Here is a 21100-nt window from a genome sequence, read left to right as displayed (position 1 = left end):
GGAACATAAGTAGAGACACTGCATTGGAATGAAAATCAGTTTTATAAAGTTGAACACAGATTTTAAAAATGCTGTACATAGATTTGTTTTTATATTTTTCAGTAAAATTTTAGGCCAGGTGTGGTGGCTCATACCTGTAATCCCCGCACTTTAGGAGGCTGAGGTGGGAGAATTGCTTGAGCCCAGGAGTTTGTGACCAGCTTGGACAACACAGGGAGACCTCATCTCTAAAAAAAGTGTAAAAATAAAAAATTAACTGGGCATGGTGGCACATGCCTGTGGTGACTGAGATGGGAGGATCTCTTGAGCCTGGGAGGTTGAGGTTGCCATGTGACCAATGATTGCACCACTGCACTCCAGCCTTGGTGACAGAGCGAGACCCTGTGTCAGAAAAAAATAAAAAATAAAATAAAATTATAGTTTGCTTTTATGTCATTTTCCCATGGCAGATTATATCATTAGCCCATGAATATATCTCCCCAAGCTAAGAATCTATTAATACTGTCTGTAGAGGTGTCTAATAAATATTCAAAGATTGAGTTGGAGCAGATGATGATTAAGAGTAAGTGTATGTTTGTAAGTCTCTGGATTTCCATAATTGTAAAAGAGGAAAAAAGATATTAGGAAGATTAAGTTGCTAAAGTTTTCTGTTCAAATAATATGTTCAATAAACATTAGTAATTTGACTTTTATTTTCTGTTTATCTCTTCATAAGGTGCAAAATGCTGAATGTTTTACGTCTTAATGAACTTAGGAGCAATTAAGGAGACTCATCATTTCACAAGCTTGAAATTTAGGCTATTAATATTTGATCAGTCCATTTTTATCTTATTAGGTAACCATTAATTTTAGAGTTTTAAATGAAACTGAAAACCAGTAGCATAATTCGACCATCTGTTAAAAAAAGAAAGAAAAAAAAACTGCATATGGCTTTAATTGCATTTCAGATACATTCAGTGGTTAGTTCTAAGAACAACCCTTATTTCCTTTCTTTTGGTAGCCTGCCCTCTCCCTGCAAATGCAGCTCCATTTGGTATGAGCAACAAGGCAAATGCCTAAAACAATCAACAGATAGAAGGAAAGCATTAATGCTGGAGTATTAGTAGCCTAGTTACAGATTGCACTGCGTCAGACTGTTCCACACCCAGAAGACGTCAGGTGACTTCAGTCCTGCTGCAGTTGTGCAGCAGAGGAGACTGCAGACTTCGGTTGAGGAAACGGGTATTTCATGTCTCAGGGAGTAGGTTTGTGCAGTTACAGCTTTTCTGTTGGTATGCATAATTAATAATTGGAGCTGCAAAGCAGATCGTGACAAGAGATGGACGGTCAGAAGAAAAATTGGAAGGACAAGGGTATATCTGCTTTTTAATTTCTTATTCAGTTTTTATATGTGACCACTAATATATTTCTATGAATAAGCTTTGGAATTTAGATATTTTGGATTGAAAGTGAAACCTCTGAAGAGTTGAAGTCTAAAGGATTAAAACGGCTATCTCACGTGTTTTTACATTTGGTTGTATACCAGAAAATGTCATGCTGTTCTGTTTCACTGGCATTCGGTTTAGTCTTTTCAGTCCTGCCGTTTAGGTTCTGTTCTCTAATCTTGCACATTGTAAACAATATAGATCTAACAGATTTCATTTGTTCGTCACTTGGATGTGGTAAATACACATTGCTGTTTTTGTGTTTCACAGTGACATATTTTCCGTGACTATTTTAAAAAACCTTACTTGGTGTAGTTGAAATTCTGTGCAAAGGTTTGTAGGTAGCAAGATATTGTGTTTGCAGTAAGCCTCTTCTTTGAAAATCTGATTTGAACCTTTAAAATTATTACCAACTTTCTTTTAATCAGATTATGTGCATCTTGAAATCATTCAAATTACACAGTATAATTACGCAGTAATTTTAAATGCATGTCTATATTTAAGTCACTAACCTTTGTCCTTGTAATAACCAATCAGTGATTTTGATCCCTTTTCCTCCCCCTTGAAAGCCCAGATCCTTTCAAATCTCAGTGGATCATTGTGTAAGAATTTAAGCCTGTAAATGGTAAAATGTTGACTAGAATATTTAAAGAATATTTTATTATGTAGATGGTTAAATCTACCTTTTTTTCTTTAAAAGAAAGTGGTAGGCTGTATATCTGACCACTTATAATAAATTACCTTTAAATTATTAGAGCTATTTTTAAGTAGTCCAAAATAGACATTCTACGTAAGCAATTTTTTTCCTGGCTACATTCAAGTTTTATAATTAAAAAAAATTATTTCCTTCTAGCAGGATTGGCAACAATATTTCTAAAAGTATGTAGAGCTAATTACAGTAACTTTTACAATGTCTTTTTAAAAATTTGTTCAATAAAGATGTGGGGAAAAGGTGAATTTAAGATTGAGACCATATTGAGACATTGGTAAGATTTTATGGTTGCAACTTAAAAAATAATAGAAAACAATACAGCTTTGGGTTTTGCCTTTAGGATTTCTTTACATGTGAATTTAAAGAGAAGGATTTTTATTTCTTCATCCTGTTAGCCGTTGACGTTACAGATTGATGAATTGATATATGGTAGCTTTTGCTAAGTGAAAATGATACAAATGATAATAATACAATAAATACAGGCCTTAAAAGTAGGTGAAAAGTCGTATCAGGGCTCATTCTGCAACTATTAAGGTTCTTTATTAATAACTTAAGTCTTAAATCATTAAATAACATCTTAAGTTCTTTATTTGTTGAAGTAATTTAAAGGTATTATGAGACAGGAGAAATTAAGTTCCAATGTAGTTCATATTTTTTCCAGAGATTTGTTTGATTATTTTTAGGTACTCAAATGTAAAATTGAATTTACTCCTGAATATCTCTGGGGAGCCTCACTTTGTAAGTGGAATGGCCTAATATTTTTTAGTACCTGTCTGGCTGTTTTGGTCGGTAAGATTAACTTTGCCTGTTTTTCTGAGTCAGTGGTTAAATTATATTTTAGTATTTTCTCTATCAGCAGACAATTTTATTATTACAGAGTAATATTTAAGATTACAGAGTAAGGTTTAAGTTGGAAATCACTGAGAAGTTGGAAGCTGTCATGGAATGAGTTTTTCCTCATCTAAAAAAAAAATAGTTTGACAGCAGAGAAGGAGCCTAATCTAGGGTCTAGGTAAATTTAAAAAATATACTTAGGCATTTTTCTACTGCATTCTCCCCCTGACCACCAGTATAGCATAGTGACAGATTTGAGAGATGCTCTGATTTCAGTGTTCTTTAAAAGGTGGTGTGTGTGTGTGTGTGTGTGTGTGTGTGTGTGTTTGCTTGCCGATTAACTGGTATTTAAGATACTCGATCTTTCAGGCTGAAAGCATTAATAATTTGCATTCTTTTATATATTCTTCATATTTTCTGTTTAGGATACTTATGACAAATGACATTTACATAGTATTCGATTACTGGGGTTATATGGAAAATTTTGATTAAGGTAGTCAAAAGATTTTTAGGAGCTTAAAATAGGAAGGAATGGGTAGGCCTAGGGATTTGGATGGGGTAGGAGAATGATATAACCACTAAAAAGCTATAGTTGAGACAGTAAATAACTTTCTGGGTAGAACAGAATATTTAGGACAGGAGTTGAAAGATAAGATTGGTGTGGTCAAGGAATGTAGAAAATTTAGATGAACTAGATTAGGTTTCCTCATACTTCTCTGTAGATGAGAATCATCTAGTGCTTCTTAAAAATGCAGATTCCTTGGGTCGTGACCTACCAAATCAGATTTTGTAGGGCCTGGCAATCTGCATATTAAGCATCCTGGTGTAATTCATATTGTTGGGCAAATTCGGGAAACAGTGATCTAGGGTTTAAGCCTTGGTTCTGGTATATTTTGATTTTGGCTAGAATAAGAAACTTACCTTTTTGGTTTTAATTTCCTCATTTGCGTGCTGCCCAGGGTTCCAGTTGAGAGGTTCTCTGGTTTTATGGAAGAGATACCCTGGGCCAGACCGCAGAAGACATTGAGTTTTGGATTTGATTGTAAAAGAAATAAAAAGGATTTGGAAGTTTTAAAGTAGGGAATGGTAAATGATAGCAGTTGGTTTAGGGTGCTGCATAAGATCAACTGGGGGAGAATAACCTATAGCCACACCAGTTAGGATGACTGTAGTTGTGCCCAGATTTAAAGTAGATAGGCTTGAATTTGGCCTGAAATAGGAAGGAAGAAGAAGCGGCAGATTTGAGAAATTCAAGGAAGGAATACTTGGCATTTGGTATAGATTTGCAGGACAAGGATGAGGTGTAAAGACTCAAGGGGCAACATGAAGTTTGAATTAGAGTGAAATATTGGCAATGACAGTCCTTTAGTATTAGTAGAAATAGAGCTAAAATAGAAAAGATGCCAAGTTGAGTTTCAGACGCTTTGAATTTGAAGTGATGATAGAACATCTCGGAAGCTCAGATAAATGACAGGTTTAATGATAAAGAATTGGGAGTCAAATGCAGAGTGAGGCAGGTGAATACTATGTGAGGAGATTTGCACTGAAAGAACTATTAAGAAAGAAAAGCCTAAAACCTGCGTTATGGAGGTCTGCGGCTTTAGGGAAAATGAGGAGGTTCTAGAGCAGTAAAAGAAGCAGGATAGTGTAACTGATACTAAGGGGGGAAAGAATTTTCAAGAAGGAATGGGCAATTAAATACTTAGAGAAGCTGGTTAATATGAGTGAGAAATGGATGTGAATCTTGTTAAATTTTAAAAGTAGGTGCAACACTGTTCTTTATTGTTACAGTACTCTTTGGATTTGTCAGTTAATGTGCCAGAGGTAATCTTTGAGAGAAGTTTCTGTAGGATAGGGAAAGAAATGTTCCTAGCATTAAAACTCAATATAATTATATCTCAAGACAAACTAGTTTTGGACCATTTCTGCAGCATACTTCCGTGTAGAGATTCTTTTAGGGCTCTCTGATCTTTACTTATGATAAGCTACTTTCATTTTTTGAAAGCCTTGAATAAAGCTCATACTGACATTTTGGTAGAGAGTAGCAGGGGTCTTGCTGTTTGAAATGCCTTACTCGGGAAGGCCAAAAAATGCCCAACAAGGGAACTTTGGCATTAATTAATTATGGGGCCTACTGATTGGAACGACTCTCCTTTCAGTTCTAAACTTTGTTAAAACCGAATATTTAGGCATTCATTAGATACATTTTCTAGATCTTGGGTTAGTAGTGCAGCACTACATAGGTATGTGTTATAGAGAATTTAGAAGGTAAGTAGAAGAGTAAAACTCACATCGCATAGAGAATAGTTTTGGGGTATCTTTTTAACAGGGTAATGTGTGTTGGGAGGGTTTTGTGGTATATTTTATTCTGTAGTCTTTTTCCTCCATTAAGTATTTATTTTTTAAATACTGTACGCTATTTTAATGACTACAATATTTTAATTCCATCTAGTTAAATCAGGTTATTGCTAAAGTTTGCAAGTACAGGTTGAACATCCCTAATCTGAAAATCTAAAAGCCAAAATGCTCCAAAGTCTGAAACATTTTGAGCGCTGATGTGATACCACAAGTAGAAAATTCCACACATAAATACTTAACACAATCTTTGTTTCATGCACAGAATTATGTAAAATATTGCATAAAATTACTTCCAGCCTATGGGTATAACATGTAGATGAAACAGAATGAATTTCATGTTTAGACTTGGGCCTCACTCCCAAGATACCTCATTACGTATATGCAAGTATTCCAAAATATTTCCAAATATTCCAACATATTCTAGTCCCACATATTACAGTAATACTCAACCTGTAAAAACAATGCTAAAATGATTATAACTGAACATAAGTCTTTGTTTCTATTTGTGATTATTTCCAAATTTCTGGGTTATGTTATTTAGGCTTTGGGCGCCTTTTACAAAACTGCTTTCCAGAAAGATTGTACAAATTGTTATTTTCATCAGTGAATGTGAGTGTCTATCATGGATCTGTGGCTAAGGTTAAATAGTATGTATTCCTTTCTTACAGTTTTTACTCTAAGATAGCTATTTCGTCAGTGTTAACTCATTAAATTACTTGATAAGAACCAGCTTTATATTGTAAGATGTGTAAGCAGTGGGAGCAATGGTGGAAATAGCCTTTCTATTTTATTTACCCAAGTCTGTGTACTCCTCATCCTTACCAGGGCCCCTAACTGATCTTTCCACTAAATTATGTGTGTCACAGCGAAATTAAAATTACTCTTCCAAAGTGCAACTCTAATCATGGCACTTAAGGGATTTTCCTTTACTTACTTTTCAAATGAAGTTTCTTCTGTCTATCCTGGATGTTTGAAAGGCATTCCATGGCCTAGCCCCAACCTTTATAATTTCGTCTGTCATTACTCCCTGTCGCTAGCCACACTGAAGGACTCGTTTTCTAAACATACCTGTTCTTTGCCTTTGCTTGTGTTTTTCTCTCCACCTTGAAGGCCCTTTCTTCCCATTTCATTTTGCTGAAGTAGTCCTTATCAAAGGCCCGGTTCTCCTTGAGGTGTTCACTAAGCCTCCCTGGGGAGGTAGTTCAGTGTTCCTCACTCCCATCTCTCGGTTTTCATTTTGTACTTTTTTTTCCCCCCTAAGGGAAGGGCATGAGGGGTTTCATTTTGTACTTTCTATTACAATTATTTATACATAAATATCTTGGCTCTTTTTCCAGCCTCCAAATTTTTTTGAAGGCCAAAAACAGTGATGGCTTCATCACTGGGTCTTCTGATTGACTTGGTGCAGCTTGTCAATGAAGGAAAAGGCTGAGAACTCCATTGTTCAGCCAGGTTTACTTCTGGCCTTAAACCCACATAAATTTTTGGAAAATTTTAAAATATGATTTCAAGTGGGAGCAATTAGAAAAAGGATTCCCCCACTTTTCCCCTTCTTAAAGGAACAATTCAGCAACTGAAGGAACTTCTGTAGATTCAGAATTTTTAGAGTATTCCTGCAGATAAGGCATTCTGTTAATCATTTATTCCAACTTTCCTGTTTTACTGACAAGGAAACCAAGAAAACGAGAGATTTAAATATTTGTCAGGCCCACACAGGACCATGCCACAGGTCCATGGTGGCATGAAGCCTTTGTTTTTATTTTATAATTTATATTTGCACTTGAATAACCAAAGATTGAAAAGTATATAAGCTAAAACGGCCCATGTTTTGATATTTTATTTGTGCATAGTCTACTTGTGGCATGTTATTGAATGTCGTATACTTCTTTCGTATTGTCCTCACTGCAATAAAAAAGGCAGGCAGTTGTCTGTCACACTAATCATGGAAGAAGGTAGGTGTGGTTAGTCATTTAGTACAGGTATTGTCAAAAGGTTAAACCTAGTGGGAGTTCTCTGGGCCAGGAGAATAATTTCTTTTCATCTTTCAGGATTGGATTACATGCTGGGATGTAGGCAGAATATCTAGGCAGAGAATAGAATTCTTAAATTTGTTCTCCGGTTGTCCCCTAAGTTCCCTTTTTATGTACAGCCATCTCAGTATCTGCAGGAGATTATTTCCAGCCCTCCACCCCGCGTCCCCCTACACCATGGATACCAAAATCCACAGATGCCCACGTCTCTTATATAAAATGGTGCAGTATTTTCGTAAAACCTACGCACATCTTGTTGAGATCATCTCTGAGTTACTTTTTACAATGTAGGTAGTTGTTATATTGTTCAGGGAATAATGACAGGAAAAAAGTCTGTACTTGCTTAGTTACAGATGCAGTCATCATAGGTCTAGCTACATTTTTCCATCCACAGTTAGTTGAATCCGCAGATGTGGAACCTGCAGACATAGAGGGCTGACTGTATTCACTTGGTCCCATCTCTTGCTAGAATTTGGGCTAAGGGATGATGTTTAATTTAGGCAATACTTTTCTTTGCATCCTTGGAGCAGTGATCTGACACCACATTTATACTTATTTATCTGCTCTATCATGAATAAGGCTGACATATTACTGAGTGTGTGTGTATTTTTTTTAATCTGCTTCATGGCTTTCAAGTTTGTTTGATTCAGCTGCCCCTTAGGCATTGGACGTATTATAGACACTAAAATATTTTGTGTCGTCTTTCTTCAAATACTATATCACTACCATATTCTATATAACATTTTCTTATGAAGCTCAAAGCAATTTAAAAACTGAAAAATTACCAAATTATCAAATATTAATGATTATTTGTACTGTTCATTGATTCGATGAACATTTATATTGTGTGTACAACAGTTATATAAGGTTATGGAAGAAGAAATATAACTGATTTACTTACTAGTGAGGTTCATTCTGTGTTTTGAACTAGTAATTTGCTTTGAGCTCTTCCCCTCCCCCAACTCCAGTATATTAAGCTTCAAGTTTCTAGAGTTACGGGACAGTATGTTTTCCATTTAGTTTTTGTTAGTAGAAAATAGGGTTTTGAGCAGTAACCTCAGGTTTCTAAGACTTGGTGCCTACTTATTTTAAGCTTTAGATGGGCCAACAAGAAGGAAAATTTAAACTATAGTAAATTATACATTGAACCAGTTTATTTTCTAATTTTAGGTTTCTATTTATGCAGGTCTTGATCAATTCTAGTAACTTAATAACCACATGCTTATCAACATGTATCAGAAATACAGACTTGTCATAGGAGAAGTTCTCATTTTAACATTCTTTACAATTGAAAAATCGTTAAAGTGAGTGCAGGTAGGGAGAGTCATGTATATCCAACATACTTAAAGAGAAGATATTTAGCTTTACCTTAGAGAAAATGAAATTAAAGGTAGGATTATTCTGTAAAGAGAAAATTATCATGGTTTAGGAAAACTAGGAGTGCAAAATTAGAACTGTTTTCTGCCCTTTTTTGCTTGTTTTCTCCTAGTAAAGCTGGAAAGAGTGTAGGATTAAGGGAAATATTGAAAACCACATGAACTAATGAAGTAAACTGGTGAATTTAATTATAAATGAAGCATGTATGGTGTTATTGAACTTCACTTTTCTCTTAGAGAAATTCGTGTTATCCTTAGAAGATGGCAAACAGCCATAGGTAGTTTTTATGTTCCTGCAACATATTTGAGGCATTTTCTACTTGAAATATAGGAAAAAAAGACCACTGGCTGGGCCTTGTAGCTCACGCCTGTAATCCTAGCACTTTGGGAGGCCACAGTGGGAGGACTGCTTGAGCCCAGGAGTTTGAGACCAGTCTGGGCAACATAGGGAGGCCCTGCCTCTACAAAATTTTAAAAAATTAGCTTGGTGTGGTGGTGCACGCCTATGGTCCCAGCTACTTGGGAGGCTGAGGTGGCAGGATTGCTTGAGCCCAGGAGGTCGAGGCTGCAGTGAGCTATGATGATGCCACTCTGCTCCAGCCTGGGTGACAGAGGGAGACACTGTCTTAAATAAATAAATAAATAAATAAATAAAATAAGATTTGATTGACTTTATCTTGGCACATAAAAACCAATAACTATGAAAATAAATTTATTTTAGTTCATTCTTAACATAATTTAGTTTATAATCACAGCCGTGCATAAGGTTTTAGAATACATAGAGGATGAATCAGGTTTTTGGGATTTAGGGGAATGTAATTTTTGCCACAAAATTGTATACTAGCACAAAATGGCTTCTTTTGCTTTATGGTTGAATTTCACAGTGGGTCATATATAATGTCCCTTTACAAAAAATGTTCAGTGGTTTAAAAATGTACTTTCCTGGGGGCTCTTCCTAATCTTTTGAAGTGAGAGGCTCCGTTTTGAAGTGCCTGTTGGACTGTCAGTGTTTTTTGGAGCAATTCTCCAGCATCACTCACAACATTAACTTTGTGGAATTTCATGTTAATAGGAAGATTTGCAATTTTGCACTGTTGATTTGGGTGGTTTTATCTGACAAGACATTTAGGTAATGAGTGAGGCTGGATGGTGAATTTAAACAGTAAGGGATATTTATGAGCTTGGATTAATTTTGAAGATTACTTAGTGGATGTTTTCTTATTTATGAAAATTTTCTTTCCTATGCAACTTCATAACTGCAGGGACCATTTAACAATACTAAACTTGGGTAAGAGAATCTTGTACTCCTCAAATAGTGTTGGTTACTAGAGAGCTAGAGACGCATATTTTTTAAATCACAAACCATCTTTTAGTTCATGTTATGTGGGGAAAGGAGTATGTGTGTGAAAACACACTCGGTGTTTACAACGATTTTAATTGTAAAGGCCGTTTGTTCTCAGTAATAATAATAAGGTTCTATCCTGGGTGTAGGATTGGTTTTTTAATAAAATGAATAGTAAACATTGACTTAACTTCACATCTTTATGTTTGGCTTCTGTTTCCTGGAGATTTTCTAGAAATGGTATTTTCGTTGCTTTATATGCTGTGTTTGTCAAGTTTATTGCTTATTTAAAAATTTTAATATCATTCTTAAATTCACCAATGTCTTTTTTATCTATTTTTATAGTTCATATGTAATTACATAGATTGTTATTTATAGTATAAATTTATTTTTAAGGTGAGAACAATTCAGATTGCTTCTAGAAAACAATTTAAACAAAACATGGTTTATTCCTATTATTGAATCTCTTAATGAAATTTATTGGTCTCACCTATAACTCTACTCGTAGTGTTAGTAAATTGTGTCTCCTGTCTCAATTATTTAAACTAAGGTAGAAATAGCATTTGGTATTCTCAAGTAGCATAAAAAGAAACTTGAGTATTAATATAGTCTTTTAAATACAAAAGGTATAATAGAGTGAGACCTTCATGGTCAGACTTGAATTTCAGTTTGTAACCCTACACAATTTATTTAACAATATGTTTACATTACAAATGTACAAATACATTTGCATCACATATGTAATGCAGATAATACTTTTTAGAGTTGTTATGGATTCGAGGTAATGTATACAATGTACTCAGCACAGTGCCTTGCTCAGACTGGGAGATTACAAAATTATTGTAGAAAGGGGAAGTATAGAAATTTTGCTGATTGTTTATTAGTGCTATTTGTTTGTCATGTAAAGTGTTATTTTCTTAGGTGTGGTGGTTCAAATTCGCCAAAGCACTGTAACGTTATCAAAGTAAGACAGGAAAGATTTAGTGGAAGAGACAAGGACCTGAAATTTTGCACGTATCTGTTTAAAAACTCTAGTTAAAGGAAGAGGAGATAGCCAAGACAGATGCTGGCTTGCCAGGTATTTGGTTGAGATACTTTTGTAGCAGTAACAGGTACCCATCAGGCTGAGACTTGCTAATTGAAACCTCTTTACATATACTTTCAGAGAAAGTTGAATTCACCTTTTTTAAAAAATCAGGGCTTAGCTAAGCATTACATATAATATTTGATTGCCTTTCTTGACCTTATCTCTTGAGCTTTAGTACCAGTGTGTTCAGTTTACCAAGCATTTCCATATGTGAAATTTCAATTCAGCTTCAAATAATTTCTTAGGGGTGGGTATTATTTTTCTAATTTTACACACAGGGAAACAGAGATTACATTATCTTCTCAGATCATATTGATACTAACCTGAAGGAAGAAATAGGACTCAAAAGAAATAGGACTTAAGGTCCTCTTAATGTCTTTGTGAAGAGAGCTAAACTCTGCACAGATCCTTTTTGTGGACCTTCGCCTGTCAGTTTTTTGACAGGTGAATGCTTACTGTGTTGAGACAAAAGCTTACTATTACGTAGTACTAAATGTTCAATTCTGAATTCTAATTACTTTTCCTGGCATTTGGGAAGAATTTGATTAAGGGTTGTGATTCTTAATAAATATATAATTACTTATTATTATAAACATGGTTGTGAAAAACAACTGAAATTTTAATACCGTTCTAATATTTATATATTCATTTGTTTATTTCCTATTTAACTGCCATTCTCATTCCTCACCTGGCATTATTAAAGAGAACTTAATATTTGCTTTTGCTTCAAAAGTAGGTATTTTTCTGCCAGCCATTCCCTGTCCTAGTATTTTTAGGAACAGCCAGTTTAACTCCCCACTGCCCCGCCTTCCCAGACAAAAGCTTTTTAAAATTGAAACCTGACTTCGGGCTGTTCAAAGAAGAATGTAAGAATTTGATTTGAGGCAAAATGTAATTGGATGACTTCTGCACGTAAGGCATGCACAATGCAGGCTGACACTATTTTTAGCTATGGCAGATGACAGTTTGTGATTACCAAATGTAGGCAGCTCTTCTTACTGTGCATTGAGCCAGAAGTTTTTATTTTAAAGAAAAGATTTAAGTGTACTGAGTTATTTTGAATTAAAATTTTATTTTGATAAAGATGCTATTACACACAGTCATTTTTCACATTTTTATCTTGGAGACAAACGGCAAGGACTGCAGGGCATAAATTACTTTTTTCTAAACTACAAGGGTTTGTTAAAATTGATGAACATTATTTTTAGCAATTCATAAGCATTCCCCCAAAGTTGTAAATGGAAAAGTACTGCTAAATTCATCTCAGATCTTTGAAAGGATGTTTAATGAACATTTTGTATGAGTAAGGTTGAGGCCACAGAATAGGGTTACCTTGTATGATTAACCCTTTATTCTGCAGTATAGAAGGAGACTTGAGGAACCAAGAAAAGTTAAACTTTCCCTGTATAAACTCTTTGTCTTAATTTTGGTTTTTCAAAAATAAGGAACCACTAAAGTGATTACTGAGGAATCCAAAATTAGCATTTTGGTGATCCTGTAGTTCTTATTGAAAGGTGTCCTTTATTTTAATTTGAAAATGAATTTAAATGTTTCTGTTCTAAAAATAATCTGGCCGCTATTCAGACAGTGCAGCAAGCATTAATGATGTAGGTAATGGGAATATAAAGATGAAAGGCATTTATCAGTTTTCCAGGGTCTAGTAAGGGGAGACAAGCCTGCAAAACAGTGTTTTCTTTTTTATAAATTACCTGAAAGCATTATTTGTTATTTAATAAATGTAGACATCTGAAAATAGTGTAAATAAAATAAATGTTAAGTCTAAAGCGTAGAAACATTTTTTAAATAAATCAATTAGAATTAGTGACCTGTCATAAGGTATTCATTCATTCTAATCAGTCAACAGTAATATTGAAAATTTAGTTGTTTTTGGCTTTCTGCTCAGCTCTGGGGATAAAGTTAGGTAGTAAGACATACATGTTCTTTTATGGAGTTTACAACCTAGTAGAGAAGTATGTTGAAATGACTATTTTTTTAAAGTTTTAAATCTATTTCCAGGACATTTTCTTCACCCCCCTCCCAAAAAAAGCCCCCCACACCCTCTAGCAGTCACTCCTCTTCCCTTTTTCCCCAGCCCCTGACAATCACTTATCTACTTTCTGTCTCTACAGAATTCATAACTTGCATATTCAAGGCACTTCATATAAACAGAATCATAAAATATATGGCCTTTTGTGACTGGCTTCTTTCACTTAGCATATGTTTTCAAGATTCATCTGGGTTGTAACATGTATCAGTACAGTAGTTTCCCCCTTATTCTTGAGGGGTAAGACTCTAAGACCCCTAGCGTATGCCCTAGAAACTGCAGATAGGACTGAACCCTATATATACTGTTTATTCCTATCTATACATAACTATGATAAAGTTAAATTTATAAATTAGTTACAGTAAGAAATTAACAACTTTAACAATGAAAGAGAATCATGGTAACAGTATACTAAAGTTAAATGAATGTGGTGTCTTTCTCAAAATATCTCATTGTACTATACTCACCTAATTTTTAACTGTGGTTGACTGCAGGAAACTCTAACCAGGGAAAGGGAAAATGCAGGTAAGGGAGGACTACTGCACTTCATTTCGTTTTATGGCCTAATAATATTCTGTTATATGGATATACCTTTTTTTAAAACAATCCATTCATCACTTGATAGACATTTGGGTTGTCTGTCTCCTCTTTTTGGCTATCATGAATAATGCTGCTATGAACATTTGTGTGTTAAGTTTTTGTGTTTTCTAGTTTCTTGGGTGAAAATTCCTAGGAGTGGAATTGCCAGGTAATAAGATAACTCTGTATTTAATTTTCTGAGGAACTGCCAAATTGTTTTTCACAGTGGCTGAATTTTACATTCCCATCAGCAATCTATGAGGCTTCTAATCTTCATCACTTTTTGTTAACACTTTTTATTGCTCATCTTTTTGATTATAGCCATCCTAGGGGGTATGAAGTGGTATCTCATTGTGGTTTTGGTTTGCATTTTTATAATGACTAAATGATGTTGAGTATTTTTTCATGTGCTTATTGGCCATTTGTGTACCTTCTTTGGAGAAATGTCTATTCAAATCTGTTGTCTATTTTAAATTGTTTTTTACTGTTGTAAAAGTTTTTCAATATATTCTGAGTACAAGTCTCTTATCAGAGAATTGGTTTGCAAGTGTTTTCTCTCGTTCTGTGTGGTATCTTTCCACTTTATTTGTGGTGAAAGTTTTTAATTTTAATGAAGTCCAATTTATCTTTTTTCTTCTTTTGTTGTTTCTGCTTTTGGTGTTATATGTAAGAAACAATTGCCTAATCCAAAGTCATGAAAATTTACACTTATTTTTTTCTTAAAGAGTTTTCTGGCTAGGTGCTGTGACTGATGCTTACAATCCCAGCACTTTGGGAGGCTGAGGCAGGAGGATTGTTTGAGCCCAGGAAGCTGAGGCTGCCTGCTTTTGCACCACTCCACTCCAGCATGGGTGACAGAGTGAGACCTTGTCTCAGCGACAATAACAACAACAAAAAGATAAGAAACAAAGATAAAAGAGTTTTCTAGTTTAAGCTCTTAACTTTGAGTCTTTCGGCCGTTATGAGTTAACTTTTATGTGTGATATGAAGTAGAAGAATCCAACGTCATTTGTTTTGCAGTTGGATATCCAGTTGTCCTAGCACCATTTGTTTAAAAGACTGTTTTTTTCTTATTGAGTTGCCTTGGCACCCTTGTGAAAGTCAGTTGACCATAAATGTAATGGTTTATTTCTGGGTTATCAGTTGTATTCCACTAATCTACCTGTTTGTCCTTGTGTAACTACTCTACTGTCTTGATTACTATATCTTTTTAGGAAGTTTTGATATAGGGAGGTTCGAGTCCTCCAACCTTTGTTGTACTTTTTCAAGTTTTTCTTGATTTTTTGGATCCCTTATATTTCCATATGAATTTTGCAATTGGCATGTCAATTTTCGCTAAAAGACAGCTGGGATTTTGATAGTGTTTGTATTTTAGATCAATTTGAGGAGTGTTACTGTCTTAATGTCTTTCAATTCATGAACAGGAGTCTTTCCAATTATTTAAGTCATCTTTAATTTCTTTCGACAGTGTGTTATGTATAGTTCATATGTCTTGAAATTCTTTTCGCTGTATTCCTAAGTATCTTATTTTTTCTATGCTATTACAAATGGAATTATTTAATTCATTTTCAGATTGTTTATTGCTAGTGTATAGAAATACAATTTTTGTATATTGATATTGTGTCCTACAGCCTTGCTGGACTCTCATTCATTATTTCTAGTAGCTTTTTGTGGATTCCTTAGAATTTTTAAAATACATACAACAGACCCTCATATCATTGTTTTGTTCAGTGTTGTTTCGTTATAATGTGCATGAGGAAGAGAAAAAAAAACAATTCCTTGCTGGGGCCACTGTCTGTATGGGATTTGTATGTTCTCCCCATGTCTGCATGGGGTTTTCTCTGGGTACTCTGTGGTTTCTTCCCACATTCTAAAGATGTACACATTAGGTTCACTGGTGTGTATCAGTTGTCTCATAATGAGTGTGGGGGTGTGTGTATGAGTGTGCCCTGTGATGGAATGGTGTCCTGTCCAGGGTTGGTTCCTGCCTTGCACCCTGAGATGTCAGGATAGGCTCTGGCCACCCGTGACCCAGAACTGGAATAAGCAGCTTAGAAAATGAATGAACGAATGAATGAATGAATACAGATTATTATAAAATAAAAACCCATAAAGTATATAATAATCATGCAAATGCACAACAATAAATGATGCAGTATGAAGGCACTTAGAGATCCCTCCATATTTGTTGTTTCTGAACTGTGTGGTGGTGGTAGGAGGTGCTCCTACCACAGTATTTGCTTTGCAGACATTTGTTCCTTGATTTAACCCACCACCACTACAACCACCATCACTGATTCACCAAAAATTGTGTTTTAAAAAATCTTTCTTAAATGTATATATAGCTTACTTTATTTCAGTGTTTAATAGTAGAAGTGTTTTGAGTCTTTATTTAGATTTTTTTTTTTTTTTAGAGATAGGGTCTTTCTGTGTCATGCAGGCTGTAGTGTAGTGATGTGATCTCAGCTTGCTGCAACCTCCGCCTCCTGAGTTCAAGTTATTCTCCTGCCTCAGCCTCCCGAGTAGCTGGGATTACAGGCACCGGCCACCATGCCCAGCTAATTTTTGTATTTTTAGTAGAGATGGGGTTTCACCATGTTGACCAGGCTCAAACTCGTGACCTCAGGTGATCTGCCTGCCTTGGCCTCTGAAAGTGCTGGGATTACAGGCGTGAGCCACTGCGCCCGACCTTTATTTAGAATATGATGATGTTTTTGTGACCAGAAATATGCCATAGAAAATGAAGTCTTGTTTATATAAATTAGCCTATGGTAAAATTGGTTCTGTTACATGTCATTTCACTTAAAGTTGCAGTTTCCAGAAAGCTATCCTCAACATTTAAGTGAGGATTTACTGTATAAGATCATGTTATCTTTAAATAGAGTTTAATCTCTTCCTTTCCAATATGGATGCCTTGTATGTCTTTTTCTTGGCCAGTTGCACTGCATAGCACCCCCAGGACCAGAAGTGGCAAGAATGGATGTACTTGTCTTGTTCCTAGTCTTAGGGGGAAAGATTTTTACCATTTAGTTTGATGTTAGCTGTGGGTTTTTGTAGATGCTCTTTATCAGGTTGATAATGTTCCATTTTGTTCCTAGTATGTTAAATGTTTTATCTTGAAAGGGTGTTGGAGTTTGTGAGATGCTTTTTCTGCATCTGTTGGGATGATCATGTGGTTTTTGTCCTTATCCTATTAATATGATTTATTGTGTTGATTGATTTTCGTATGTTTAATCAATCTTGTATTTCTGAGATAAAGGCCACTTGGCCATGGTGTATAATCTTTTTTATATGTTGCTCGATCCAGTTTGCTTGTATTTTGTTGGGGATTATTGCATCTATATTCATAAGGGATATTTATCTGTAGTTTTCCTTTCTTGTGATGTCTTTGTCTGATTTTGGTATCAGGATTGAACAAACTTCTAAGTTAACTAATAAATCTAAATTAACTAATAATTCTCTTGTTGACCATTAGAAGCAACAGTATTTTTCTCAGAAAAACACTATATTTCTCAGAAGGGATTTTAATAAAGTTCTATACATTCCTCCTATTGAGAATCATTTATCCTGTATAAACAATCTTTCAAAATTTTTTTATTAAAACCAATTTGAGGAATCTGTAAGGGACTAGAAATTTTGTTGGCAAATGTCAATTAAGTCAGCCACACTGTTTGGTATCAACTAATATTTTTTTCATTCTTGCAGCTTCACTAACAATCTTTTCAGCTTCTTTACGGAAAAAGATGGAAATTCTTCTGTACTTTGCACAGTGGGGTTGGTGGCAGTGTAGATTGCCTCTCAGGTGTTCCTATTCTAGGATATATTCATATTATCTTATGTGTGACTATCAGTGCCTAGTTGTCTCATTTCTCTTGGCTGTTCTTCCCTTTTTGTTTTCCTCCAGGGCTCTAAAGGGTCTGATGGCTCCACCAGAGCATTCCTAGTACTTGTTTCAGTATGTCTGTCATGATACCTGCTTTGAGCTACTCTCATGTAGCTGCTTACATATTTTTATTCAGTATGTGTGGGCTTACGTATGTAATTTTCAGAGCTTTTCCATTTATTGAAAAGACCGTGTTCCTAGGAACCATATGACAAGAGGAAAGGAAGTGGTAGGTTAGGGCTTACTATCATTGAGTACTGCTGGGCCTTATACATGACTATTCTGGTATCATTAACTTTGGGAAAATTGACTTGATTCAACGCAGAACACCAGAATCATCAACTTAGTTATATACTGCTAGAATTTTAACTGTTGGCTGGATCCAAATATTTATTAACCTAACAGACAGGGTGTTCTTTTTCCAATAGGAAAGCCTACTGGGAAAAATAACACTCATAAGACTCTTCAGTAGTACCGAATAGAAACAGAATGGGGTGAATTTTTTTCTGATTATAGTCATGATTCATGCTTGCCATTAGAGTGGGACCATTTCAGATGGCACAGAAAAGAGTAAAGAAGCAAGTAAAACTCATTGATAATCCCGTTATGCAGAGATAAAAACACTGCTTAGTAGATATACTTTCAGACTTCATAGTTATATGTTTAATTTCTTTTCTTTTTTTTTTTTTTTTTTCCGAGATGGAGTCTCGCTCTGTTGCCCAGGCTGGAGTGCAGTGGCGCAATCTCGGCTCACTGCAACCTCCGCCTCTCGGGTTCACGCCATTCTCCTGCCTCAGCCTCCTGAGTAGCTGGGACTACAGGTGCCCACCACCAAGCCCGGCTAATTTTTTTTTTTGTATTTTTAGTAGAGACGGGGTTTCACCGTGTTAGGAAGGATGGTCTCGATCTCCTGACCTCATGATCCACCTGCCTCGGCCTTCTAAAGTGCTGAGATTACAGGCGTGAGCCACCACGCCCGGCCATATGTTTAATTTCTTAAGTGAGAATATACTGTGAGTCTTTTTGTAACATGCTGTTTTCATTTATCATTATGGACATGTTTCTGTGATAATGTAGATCTGTATCACTTTTTTTTAATGGCTACACATTTCTCTTGCATAAATATACCCTGATTTTATTTAATTAGATTCACATAGTTTTTAAAAGTCATTTTTCAACAACTTAATTATAGTTCTCTACTGTGGGAAAGTACTTATCAAATATATTGGAGTAAAGCCCTGTTCTCGGTTTTTGGGTCTAACAGTAGGTGAAATATTCACATTAAAATTTGTCCCTTATTGATTAAACTATCTTGTTAATTTCACTTAGCTTTTCTTCTTGGCCTTTATGATTCATCTTGCATGTTGTAATTATCTGCCTACACTTTGCCCATTTGTTATGCATGCACACGTATAACATTTTGAAGCACTTTAATCAGCTAAGCCTTCAATTTGGCATCATACAATGGAGAATATGAGTTTTTATCCATAGGAATCCTGGGTTCAGATCCATGTTCTGCCACTTATTAATGATGTGATCTGGGTCTAGTCATGTAGGAGCTGGGTTTCACTCTTTCAAGCCTACCTTTCATTAGGTTTGTTTGTTTGTTTAAGAGATGAGGGGTCTCTGTGTTTCCCAGCCTGGTCTCAAACTCCTGGCCTCCCACCTCGGCCTCCCAAAGTGCTGGAATTACAGGCATAACCCACTTTGCATAGTGGCTCATTAGGTTTTAATAATTGAAAGAGATAATGTTGTATAGGCTACTGCAGTGTTTGGCATAAAGGAGGTGTGGAGATTGGAGAATGTAGATCAGCAATCAAAACATCTATCAGGCTTAAGCGTATCATTTTTCAAACTTTTAAAAAGTTTCTCTCATACAGTTGCCATAATGATAGAGTTTATAATTGCTTGAAAAATTGTAGGAATATGAATTTGTTATTTTCCTAAAGTTTTAATAATGTCTGGTACTTAAGATATTTCTAGGAAGGTTCAAATCAGAAGACTGGTATGAATAAAAATATTTAAGCTTCCTTCTCCCCAAAAAAATCTAGATCTAAAAAGGAAGGAAATATTTTAAAATTATATTGAGCACAGATAATGCCCCAGTAGTAAAACTTCATCGGTTTGGATCCACTGACAGGGAATTTGAATGCAGTACTAATGTGTGTATCTTTGTACTGACTGTGGGTCATGTTAATTCCTTAAGGGAAAAGAGAGATTAGAAGATTAATGCCCTTTATGGACGATAAAACTGAAGGCCAGAGAGGTTGGAGTCGTATCCAAAATCACACAATTGCTGAGCTGGTACATGCTAGGATGTGGGTCTCTTGAATCCCAGTCCTGATATTTCCTTCTACCATATTCATTTAGGTAGAAATTATAGACTAATTATAAATAATTCATATATAGTCACTACACCTGTTTAAACAGTAACTCTGTTATAATATTAGGAAGTTTGATTAGACATTAATTTATGTTGTACAGTGCAAACCTCTCAAATCTAAAGTCATTGATTTCATGGCCAGGTTTTACTGAGTAGTTTTTAATGATGGTAAAAAATAGCAAGTACATCTGCATTTACTTTAACTTCTCACCAATAGTGATTTTGAAGGTTAATTAATGTTTCTGAGCAGTTTGAGAACCACTTTTATAAAGGAGCATTTGTTCATATGAAAAATAGATTTGAGAGGCCGGGCATGGTAGCCCACGCCTGTAATCCCAGCACTTTGAGAGGCCGAGGCGGGCGGATCATGAGGTCAGCAGATCGAGACCATCCTTCCTAACACGGTGAAACCCCGTCTCTACTAAAAAAACAAAAAATCAGCCGGGCATGGTGGCGGGCGCCTGCCCCAGCTACTCGGGAGGCTGAGGCAGGAGAATGCCATGAACCTGGGAGGCGGAGCTTGCAATGAGCCGAGATCGCGCCACTGCACTCCAGCCCGGGCGACAGTGCGAGACTCTGTCTCAAAAAAAAAAAGTAAAAGAAAAATATATTTGAGGTACACCTTACTTGCTGATTCCTTTGGGCTATTAGCTTTTACTTACCCTATAATAGTAAAAACTTAGATAAGCTTTAAAATTCTTTCCCATATGGTTTATAAAGTAACATGTTTACAATATAACACAACAGTATAGTTTATTAACCTAAAGTTAATAATAAGTTTGAAATTTTCTTCTTTATGTATTTACTATTTAAGTATTGAGTAAGATGATTGTGATTGTGGTAATAATAACAGCAACAAATAGCACTGACATTTATTAAGAATTTATTGTATGCTATGTACTCTATTAAGTGCTTTACATTAATTATCTTACTAATGAAAAATCTAGTGAATCACATCTCAATGAGATCATTCCTATTTTTTTATTGACAAATCATAGCTGTATATATTTATGGGGTACAATATGTTTTGACATGTATACAATGTGGT

At 35.3% G+C, this 21100-nt stretch overlaps 1 protein-coding gene across 13 annotated transcripts in view, besides 2 other annotated features; it reads left to right on the top strand.

Moving 5' to 3' along the window:
- RTN4 (reticulon 4) overlaps positions 1–21100 on the top strand; it is a 165643-nt gene that overhangs the window by 126393 nt on the left and 18150 nt on the right. Inside the window, exon 1 of one of the 13 annotated variants that reach the window (NM_007008.3) lies at positions 1167–1352. The exons of the other annotated variants lie outside the window; for them this stretch is intronic. Within the exon in view, the coding sequence (NP_008939.1) occupies positions 1319–1352 (34 nt within the window). The 5' untranslated portion in view covers positions 1167–1318. Of the gene's footprint in view, positions 1–1166; positions 1353–21100 lie in introns of those variants that run through there. 13 annotated transcript variants of the gene reach the window in all.
- Positions 301–360: a silencer, noted in NCBI's record as "silent region_11493". NCBI's record gives its function as "represses an Ori minimal core promoter by ATAC-STARR-seq in GM12878 lymphoblastoid cells {active_cell/tissue: GM12878}" and the evidence as "EXISTENCE:reporter gene assay evidence [ECO:0000049][PMID:35858748]".
- Positions 15642–15821: an enhancer, noted in NCBI's record as "active region_15771". NCBI's record gives its function as "activates an Ori minimal core promoter by ATAC-STARR-seq in GM12878 lymphoblastoid cells {active_cell/tissue: GM12878}" and the evidence as "EXISTENCE:reporter gene assay evidence [ECO:0000049][PMID:35858748]".

This window comes from Homo sapiens, chromosome 2, assembly GCF_000001405.40.
Source record: "Homo sapiens chromosome 2, GRCh38.p14 Primary Assembly".
In the NCBI taxonomy this organism is placed as follows: domain Eukaryota; kingdom Metazoa; phylum Chordata; class Mammalia; order Primates; family Hominidae; genus Homo; species Homo sapiens.
This window is presented reverse-complemented; position numbering and strand designations above follow the sequence as displayed.